General features: G+C 45.1%; 1 protein-coding gene across 3 annotated transcripts in view, besides 2 other annotated features; it reads right to left on the bottom strand.

Moving 5' to 3' along the window:
• PREP (prolyl endopeptidase) overlaps window positions 1–8,330 on the bottom strand; it is a 129,865-nt gene extending 121,535 nt beyond the window's left edge. For all 3 annotated transcript variants that reach the window (NM_002726.5, XM_011535925.4, XM_005267044.4), the window contains exons 1-2: window positions 8,095–8,330; window positions 3,101–3,175 (exon numbers count right to left, since the gene is read on the bottom strand). In NM_002726.5, coding sequence (NP_002717.3) covers window positions 3,101–3,175; window positions 8,095–8,139 — 120 coding nt within the window. In that variant the 5' untranslated portion in view covers window positions 8,140–8,330. The remainder of the gene's footprint in view (window positions 1–3,100; window positions 3,176–8,094) is intronic.
• Window positions 3,148–3,910: an enhancer, noted in NCBI's record as "OCT4-NANOG-H3K27ac hESC enhancer chr6:105845775-105846537 (GRCh37/hg19 assembly coordinates)". NCBI's record gives its function as "activates a minimal SCP1, AML or CMV promoter by ChIP-STARR-seq in naive H9 embryonic stem cells {active_cell/tissue: H9 hESC(naive)}" and the evidence as "EXISTENCE:reporter gene assay evidence [ECO:0000049][PMID:30033119]".
• Window positions 8,038–8,607: a silencer, noted in NCBI's record as "silent region_17428". NCBI's record gives its function as "represses an Ori minimal core promoter by ATAC-STARR-seq in GM12878 lymphoblastoid cells {active_cell/tissue: GM12878}" and the evidence as "EXISTENCE:reporter gene assay evidence [ECO:0000049][PMID:35858748]".

Raw genomic sequence — 9,528 nt, forward strand, 5'->3', positions numbered from 1 at the left:
GGGCAACAGCAAGACCCTGTCTCTAACAAAAGAGTCAGTAACACTTGTATATGCCATCAATAATGAAAAAGGAACCCATTTGATAGCAACGACAAAAAGCAAATACCTGAGAATGGAGAAGAGATTTCAAGGCTACTGCAACAAGTAATCATGTCATTGTCAGAAATGTGGAGATCTAGAAAAGTGCTTGTTTGGGACATTTGGGACATTATTTGTAATAGTGAAAAGTTGAAAACAATCATTTCCAACAGAAGTCATTAGGCATAATATAGTGCATCTGCCTGATGAAATAGTATCACTATTAAAATTCTGGGCTGCAAAGATTGCTTTCTAACATGAAAAATTGCCATGGTAGAATATGAAGTCAGAGAAGGATGTAAGATCACAGTACTCTGAATTATTACAATTTAAAAAATATATATATTTTAAAAAAGAACAGGTCAGCATGGGAGTGGGGGCTGGCCCAGGGTTCACACCTGAGGGCCTACAAAGGCACATGGCAAGCACAGACATGAATACATTCCTTTAGCTCGCATCTGCAAAGTATTACACCCAGTCTTTTTACTTTTACTTATTTTTTAATGTGTAATTGATAACCACCTCGTCTACCTGGGTTACCCTTGACTACACACTTACTAGCTGAGTAGCCATGGACAACATATTTAATCACTCAGCACCTCAATTTCTTCATCTGTAAAATGGGGGAAATAAAAAGATATATTTCAGAATTTGAGAATTAAATGAAACAGGGAATGCAGAACTCCCGGTAAAGTGCCTGGCACATGGTAACCATCCAAGAAATGTATACCACAAAAATAGTGTATACTCCAATGTCTTAGTTTCTATCAAGTGCTGACTATAAGATCATTAATTAGCAGTTTCATCCACTAATTGGAAGCCTGATATCCACTAATAAGTGGCTTGTCATCCACGAACCTGTCATTATCAACTAAGGAACAGCAAAGTATACATTCACTAACAGATAAAACCTGGGTCATTTTGACAGTGCTAAATCACTCAATCACCATCAAAGGCTGTAGAAATCCAGGTTATAGCCGATACTTCAGGTGAAGAAATCATCAGGTCCTTAGAGACAGTTTTCCAAGAGATGCACAGGAACTTCATCCTTTCCCTGGTGCTTTCTAGCCAGTACAGGTTATGCAGGTGCATGTGACTCTCCACTCCCAGACCCAATCCCTCTGTCTCAGTCAGCCCAGTGTTGAACAATCAAGGTAATCTATGGCAGGGATGAAGTGGGGAGGTAACCCCACACCTGTTCTCTGTCCCCTCAGACTTACCTGCAGAGCTACAGCCTTCACCATTCCTAAAGATACTCAGGTGTTTCTCACTTTGGAATTTCTGCCCATCCACTACTATAACCCAGTGCTTCTGGAAAGAAAAATTAAACCCCAAATATCAACCATTCTCATCCATGAGATCTTTGTCTTTCTTGAAGGGAGTTAGAGAAAGAATGTAGGATTGCAGATAAAAGTAAAAACCATTAGGAAATCTCAAAATAGCAGTGTGCTTACTTTAGGGACAAAGGATAAAAAGAAGTTGTAAGAGCTTTGCAGTGGGCAAAGGAGAGACACTACTCACAAAGAACAGGTGAGGATAGCAGAAAGCAGGTGAGCCAGTGCTTGAGACTAAAGGAAGAAGAAAGAGATGATCATGTGGTTTACTCCCCTGCCTCTACTTTCTCTCTTTTCTCCATATACCATCATGCTCTGGCTAAGCTCTTCACTCCATCCCTTTCCTTGTCCCAGTGGGGAGATGGGCAATTCTACATCAGGAAGGGATGCTTTCCTGGCAAATCTGAATTCAGGTCTCCAGAGAACACTGGTATATACGGTGGAAAGGGACTGCAAGAAACAGGCGGAGTTAAGACACAGGCGTTTGAAGACTGGCCTGAAAAACTACCTAGAGTGCCATTTAACCTTTTTTTTTTTTAAATGGGAAACGTACCCTGCAACTCTAAAGAAGCTCGAATAAATTTTGGGATGCTGAACATATCAGAAACTGCAAATATGTACTAAGTATTATGTACTATGGTTATAAATAGAAGAATCCAAGAACTTAAGATGAACTTGAGAAACACTATTCCCCCAACCAAGCAAACTTAATTAACTACATAAAGTACACATAAATGGGCTGGGCGCGATGGTGCACACTTGTAATCCCAACACTTTGGGAGGCCGAGGCGGGAGGATCACTTGAGGCCAGGAGTTCGAGACCAGCCTGGCCAACATGGTGAAACCCCCGTCTCTACTAAAAATACAAAAACTAGCCGGGTGTGGTGGCACATGCCTGTAATCCCAGCTACTCGGGAGGCTGAGGTACAAGAATTGCTTGAACCCAGGAGGCGGAGGTTGCAGTGAGCCAAGATCGCACCAGTGCCCTACAGCCTGGGTGACAGAGTAAGACTCTGTCTACAAAAAAAAAAAAAAAAAGTATACATAAGTGACAAGTCCTAGGCACTCCAAAAAGGGAAAAATGTCTGTGGGACATAGGACTTAGGGCCACCTTCATTACTGAATGGACTTCAGCAGGATCCTTGAAATACTGTTTCTCCAAAAGAATATGAAAGCTTTATGTTTTTAGGGCAGAAAATGCTCCCCCCTGCCCCTTCACTACTTAGCTTTTGTTTCACTGTTGTTGTGTTGACATCAATAAGCAATTTAAGGACAGTGTTCAGTTTTCATGACCTAATATTCATTTCATATACAAGATTTCCTTTTCTTTGGAAAAAAATATTTAGGCAATTTTTTCCTTTAACATCATTTCTATCTAGGTTTTCATTTTTTCTTTTGGCAAAAATCAGTTTTCTTTCTGATATTTTCATTTAAAATAGCTCATCAGTGTCACTATGAACCATAAACATTATCTGAAACACTTAGGTGATCTTCTCTGGGACTAAGCCATGCTTTTGTCTTTTTCCCATAAATTATTTGACAAAAAGTAGTGGTAACAACAGGTATACTCACCATCCCATGGCAGAAAACACAGGAGAACACCAGAAAGGAAAAGCTATAGTTACTGACATTTAGAGTTTGGTGCTAGCTACTAAGGCTGCCTTATCTTTAATTAGAAACCAAATTACCTTAGTCTGTTCACTGTCGGGGTCTTCAAGCCAGGCGTAAGGGTCACAAATTTTATGACCATGATAATCCTGTACCTGTAAAAAACAAAATGAGGTATTAGATAATTACTCTCTAACCCCAATTAAAACTGGTATTTTTTTAATGTAATGGAGAAATAGGAAAGGGATGGACAAAAATGCTAATTGGCTCACTGGCAACGTGTCTGCCCAAATTACCACATGAACCAAAGTTGGCAGGTTCTCAAAGGTGTCAAGCCACCCTTCATGAAAAGAATGTTTCAGCTAGAGAGGAAAGAAAGATGAAAGGTCAGAACAGGAAACCGCTCTGTCCCTACAACACAAAACAAAGACCTGCCACTGTGCTAAAGAAACTTGAAAACGTGCTGTCAGCAGCCAAGCACAGAATGACACAATACAGTGGACAATACAGTGGGCACACAAGAAGGGCACGTCAGGGAGGGGGCTAACACACACGTGCTCATTCTCCTGTTCCGCTGAGCTTCCCAATGATTAGAAAATCTCCCTGCAATATAGCCCAGGTTTGCTTTTATGTCTAAACTGCCAAAAAGCAAGTTACTAATATGTAGTATAATGATTCTAATTGACATAAGTTCAAAAAGCTGACTTAAATGCAATGGCAAAACATTTTAAAACTAATGCCTTTCTTCCTTTTTATTTACTGTTATGAAATGCTTTTTTCCACTGTTTACAAAAAGAAGGTGCAAAAGCATCACCCATTCAGGTTACCATGATATTGGAAGAAATAAAACTGCTTAGTGTAAGTAGAACCTGGCTGAAGGAAGCTTTCTGGAGCTTCTAAGGCCTGGCCTTAGAAGCCACTTGAAGGCGTTTGAAGGAGCAAGTAGAAACAGTTTTCACCACTCCTCAAGTGATTATGCCAAAAGAAATTATCCAGCAGTAAAAATCATTACAAAATCTCTCCACCTGATACCATCAAGATTAACCCCATTAGGACAGAGTGCAGTGGCTCACAGCCATAATCCCAGCACTTTGGGAGACTGAGGCAGGCGGATCACTTGAGGTCAGGAGTTCAAGACCAGCCTGGCCAACATGCTGAAATCCTGTCTCTACTCAAAATTTAAAAATTAGCCGGGCATGGTGGCAGGTGCTGTAATCCCAGCTACTCGGGAGGCTAAGGCAGGGGAGTCTCCTGAACCCAGGAGGCAGAGGTTGCAGTGAGCTGAGACAACGCCTATTGCACTCCAGCCCGGGCAACAGAGCAAGACTTCATCTCAGAAAAAAAAAAAGATTAACCCCATTAATGAAACCACACTGACAATGTCTTGCCAATCAAGTCTCTGAACCACTCCAACATTCTAGTTAAGGCTTCTTGTATAAAGCTGTTGGGAAGACTACCTCTATCTCAGATGAATTTTTTAATCTGTCTCCTTGCTTTGTTCTACAATGCCAGAAGGTAAGGGCTATTTCCTAAAGAAAACCTAGTGCTGCTCTAGTTCCAGTGTGGCTCTGGCTGGGTGAGAACAATCTCCTTGGCCCTTACAACACCGGGCTTTCCACATCTGTCCTTGTCTGATGCCAGGTCAAAGAACTCCTGGGGAAATGCACAACTGGATAAATGGGCAGGTAAGCCAGAACACTCTGTATATATTTTCATTAAACAACTGACTGAGCAAGGGACGTAAAAACAAGAGCAAGGAACATAAAACCCGACTAAAGCCTCTCCAGATGGGTCTTCATAAAGTTACCAATTTTCAATTCTGACCTCTCTAAATTTTAGCAGATTGTCACCACCGAACAACAGCTTTTCATCTTTTCTTCTCATCTGCAAGTCTTTTACGTTTTACACACCTTGAAGTGGTTATAAAATAGGCTTAAAATAACAATCTGCTTTTCCTAGCATTAAGAAATCAGAAAATTTTGAATTGTAAAGCATCTTTCAATCATGCACTTCTAGGAGCAACAGCAGGGATAAGGCTGGGTAACATGCCCAGAACCATATCAAGTTCAGAACCAGACCTGGGACTAAAGCAGTCAGCCCACCCTTTTCCCCAAACACTCATCAGAGGGGCCAGAATAGACACTTAAAAAATGTTCCTGGATTATGTTACTAAATTCAGGCATATCTAGAATTTTACACCAAGCAGCCCTATCTGCCCAGACCGGGCACCATCATCTACAGCAGATGGAAGTTATTGATCAGATATTTTTAACTAGGACAAGAAACATTCTCTCCAGGACAATTCCAGAGTTAATCCCAGGAGCCACAACTTTCCACCTCCAATTTTTTCTAAGACCATACCCTACAAATGAGGTGGATGTGTCTTATAGCCACTTCCCTTGAATCAAATTCTTCCACCTGATTTAAGTTTGCTAATCATTCTTGATCTCCTCAAGAAGCTTTAAAAATAGAGCCCTGATAAGGTACTGTACTACTTAATCCTGTTCGATATTTTACTTGTACTGTTCAACAACTCACCCACTGCCTTCAGGATAAAGTGCAGACTCGTACACACAGCAGGCAGGACCCATCAAACCTGCCCTGCTCATCTTTCCAGCCCCATGCAAATTTATCCATCTGTTGATGGTCTGGTCAGAATCGCCTTCTTGCCACCCTACAAACAAATGCAATTCCACAACAATCCAGGCCTGCATAGCTATGGCTTTACTTTAGTCACAGGATCAGGAATGTCCTTTGTCCCTTACCCAACTGGTCAACTTCCAGACTCAATTCACATAATGCCTCCCCCTCCTGATGGAAATTAGTCCCATCCTCTTCTGTGTTCTCCTCTCACCCTAAATCCTCTTCTATCAGAGTGTGAGTCCCCTGTGACAGGCCTGAATTTCCTGATAGCAACTCTCTTAAGCAATGGTCGATGGTATTGCACAAGAAGTGTCATGGCTTCCAAATTTCTGCCCAAAAAGGCAGAACTCCACCAAAATGGTCTCAACGCTCCAAAGCTTTCAGCAGGAGAGTACTGAGCATATGGCTGAAGGTGCTCAAGTGAAAGAGACAGAGAGCTACCGCAATGCCCAGCTGATGCTGGGGAGAAACAAACCCATCCTAGAAATCAAAGGCTACCATTTAAGCAAATACCTAAGTCAAGCCTAGGGCTTAGTAACCAAAACCTTAATGCAAAAAAAAAGATACTCCACCGTAAGCTATCAAGGAGCCACACAACAAGATCCAGACTGGGCCAGAGCTACATTCCCTTGGCCACGAGGCTTAGAGTTAGCATGAGTTGCTTAATGAGAAGGAACTGGAGTGTATTAAAATCCACAGTATACCCTTCCGAGTTGTTTATAATCTTTTAGACGTCTTCATAAAATCCTCACTTAAACCTTTCATGAAATATCAAACATAAATAAACAAACTGTAGGATTTAGGCACCCACAGTGGTGAAAAACTAACAAGTAACTCTAAAAACAAACTTAAAACTGCACTTATCAAACCACAGAATGGGTAATTCTTTATATTCTGATCCTCAAGAACCAGAACCAAGAGAGTCACCTGGCTTCCCATTACTAGTCTGGAACACTGCAGAGCTAGACTGTCACATGAATGAATGAATGAATGACAACATTCCTACTGCAGAAGCAAGTAAGCCCTATGGTCAGTCCAAATATTTCTCATATGAGAAAAAAGGCCCATAACAGGTAAAAGAGCTGCTAAAAGTCACCTAACTAGTGAATGACAGAACCAGAACTAGCGCTCTGGTCTTTTCATTTAGTCCAGCCTCTTTCTCCATTCCAGCAGGATCACTTTACTCCCATATTCAAAGGAAACAACCTTTAAACCACAGGAATAGAGCTTCTTGAGCTGTTAGGGTAAATTTAATAAGCAAGCAGCTGAGCAGACTGAGAAAACATGGTTACCAGATGGCCACTGGTCAAAGAAACCATGAATGAATGCATCAGTGTCACTTGGAAGTCTTAATTTAAAACAGTATGTCCTTTACTCCGAAGCGTCAGCACCCTTTACCCCAATGTAGCACGTGCTTTAAAGTAAACACTTTCTGGCATAAATTGGGAAAGTAAACAGAAAAACATTAAAACTGTATCACACAAATACATACTTATTCTGATTATATTTTAAGTAATCTGAGAAATGTAGCTATTAGTAAGAGAATCACGGCCACAACATGTGGATGCAATCCAGTTCCTAAGTCGTCAAATTCACGTTTACACAAAAAAGGTGTCTGCCCAGAATTCCGCCTACTGGATCTCAACAGTTACCTTGAGTTCATCTGCAGCTTAGGCAAATGGTGGTCAACTCCGCCACTAGACAAAACTTACTCATTCTGAAAAAGGTCAACCCCTCTCCCTTCTAAGACCTCCTCTCACCCTCTCTCAACTCCTTTTCTTGTTTAAGAAAACATGGATCAGCACGGCCACACTATGGGGTCACTGCTCCGCCTTCCCCATTTCTGTCCGGGTCTCTGGCATCCCCAGGGCCCAGTGCGCCTCATCCGACCTGGGACAGGGTAGGCGCTCAACACACCTTTTAAAATCGAACGAATATGCTTCAACTCTAAGGACTTTAAAGTGTAAGTTTTAAAAGTTTGTTTTCGTTTTTAAATGTGACATCACACACACACACACACACACACACACACAAACACACACACACACCCCAGCGGACACTTTCTCCTACCACCATATTTAAGCAAGAGGCTTCGCCAGTCAAAAAAGCAGTGACACCGTCTGTCTTCCCACTCCCTGAAGACACCCATTCTACCCGGGCGTCTGCCCTTGACCCCATTGATTCTAGGAAGCGGCCGGGCGGCGCTGCCCACAGGCTCCGCCGCCAGCACTAGCAGAGTGACCGCCCGCGGGACCCCAGCGCTGCAGAGGAGCCCCGCGCCCCCGGCCCAATTCTCCCAAACAAAGGCCGAGGGGGAGGGGAGGGACGCGGGGGTCGAAGGCCTACAGGAAGAGGAGCTGCGGGTGCCACGGGTCAGGCAGGCTGGGCACCTTTGCCCGGGAGCCCTCTGGGCGGAGGCAGAGATACTTACGGCGGTCTCGTCGCGGTACACGTCGGGGTACTGAAGGGACAGCATGGCCGGGGACAGGCAGGGGGCAGCGTGGAGGGGCGCGGGCTCCGGGAGCGGACCTGAGCTAGCCGGGCTGGCCGCGAGGCGCGGCTGGGGCGCAGGCAGCTGCGGGGCGGCCGGCGGCAGCGGGCGGCCGGCTCACGGCCAGAGCTAGCACAAACGGACTGGCGGCGCGGCGGCGAGGACGTGCAGAAAGCAGGAAGCCGCTGTCTGCGAGGCCGGGAGCCCCTCCCCGGCGGGCGGGCCCAGCGGCGGCGGCGGCGGCAAGAGGGAGCGGGCGGCACCGAGCGTGCGCTAAGGCCGGCGCACAGCTCCCTCTGCAGGATCGCCGGCCGCGCCCGCGCCGCCCGGGCGCACGGAGGAGCACGCCGGCTACGCGCTCGCCCACGCCCGGCCGCCCGCCCGTCCTCTGCGCCGGGGACAAGTCCTTCCACCGAGGCCGGGTCCCCGCGCCTTCCCTAGCGCCCTGCCTCTCTTTGGCCGCGCTCGCAGGACCGCCTGTAGGAGAGTGAAGCCCCAGGGTTTCCTTGCTGATGGAGTCCCCCACCTTCCCCAGCCTTCCTGTTCCCGGGCTGGTTACGGCGGCGAAGGGAGACCTTGCCTCTCCCCAGCCTTGGAAGCAGAGGGCTGGAGGTGGCCTTATGTCCACTGCCTGCGACTCTGGACTTGAAGGGAAGAAGTAATCGATCATGATGACCGTGAAAGAAACACGTCTCCCTTCATCCCAGGACCCCTGGTGGACACTGGGTGGTTTAGCATCCGGACTATGGAGATGCTTTGGAGGTGTTGGCAGGACTACGGTTGAGCCCTTATTTGATATTTACCGATTGAGAAAGAACCAAGATTAAGAGGCCTGGAACTCATCAGGGGTATTTTATTTATCCTGCCTTTTCCTCATTTCCTCTCCTGCTGTCATGCTTGTTTATTGAGCACCTACTGTTTATGGGAAGAAAAGATAATAGACAAGATACTTGACCTCAAACCCATGAAAATTTAATAGTTACATGTCATCATCCTCGGGCCAGCAGCGGTATGTGTTCTGGTCTTGCTTCCTGGACCACCCAGAAGAGACTTTATAGCCCCAGCCATCAGGGGTATAGTGTGTGCCCAGTGTGTTTTCTATCCCTGGCTTCCAAAAAGTCCTGGAAGAAAGAATAGGTGTGACCAGAAAGTCCTTCACCTCCGGAATCTAAGTGGATATGGTAACTATTATAAACTTGTGTCCTCCGTCTCTTTTGTGATATGGTCCCAATTCCATGCCTCACCCTTAGTTCACCATTTCTGTTCATAGTGATGTGTCATAATCATTTTCTGCATCTGATCCCAGATACCCCCTCCTGGGGCAATCTGAGAATCCTCAATTCTGGGAGAACTCACGCTATTGATAACAAACTT

This window comes from Homo sapiens, chromosome 6, assembly GCF_000001405.40.
Source record: "Homo sapiens chromosome 6, GRCh38.p14 Primary Assembly".
Classification (NCBI taxonomy): domain Eukaryota; kingdom Metazoa; phylum Chordata; class Mammalia; order Primates; family Hominidae; genus Homo; species Homo sapiens.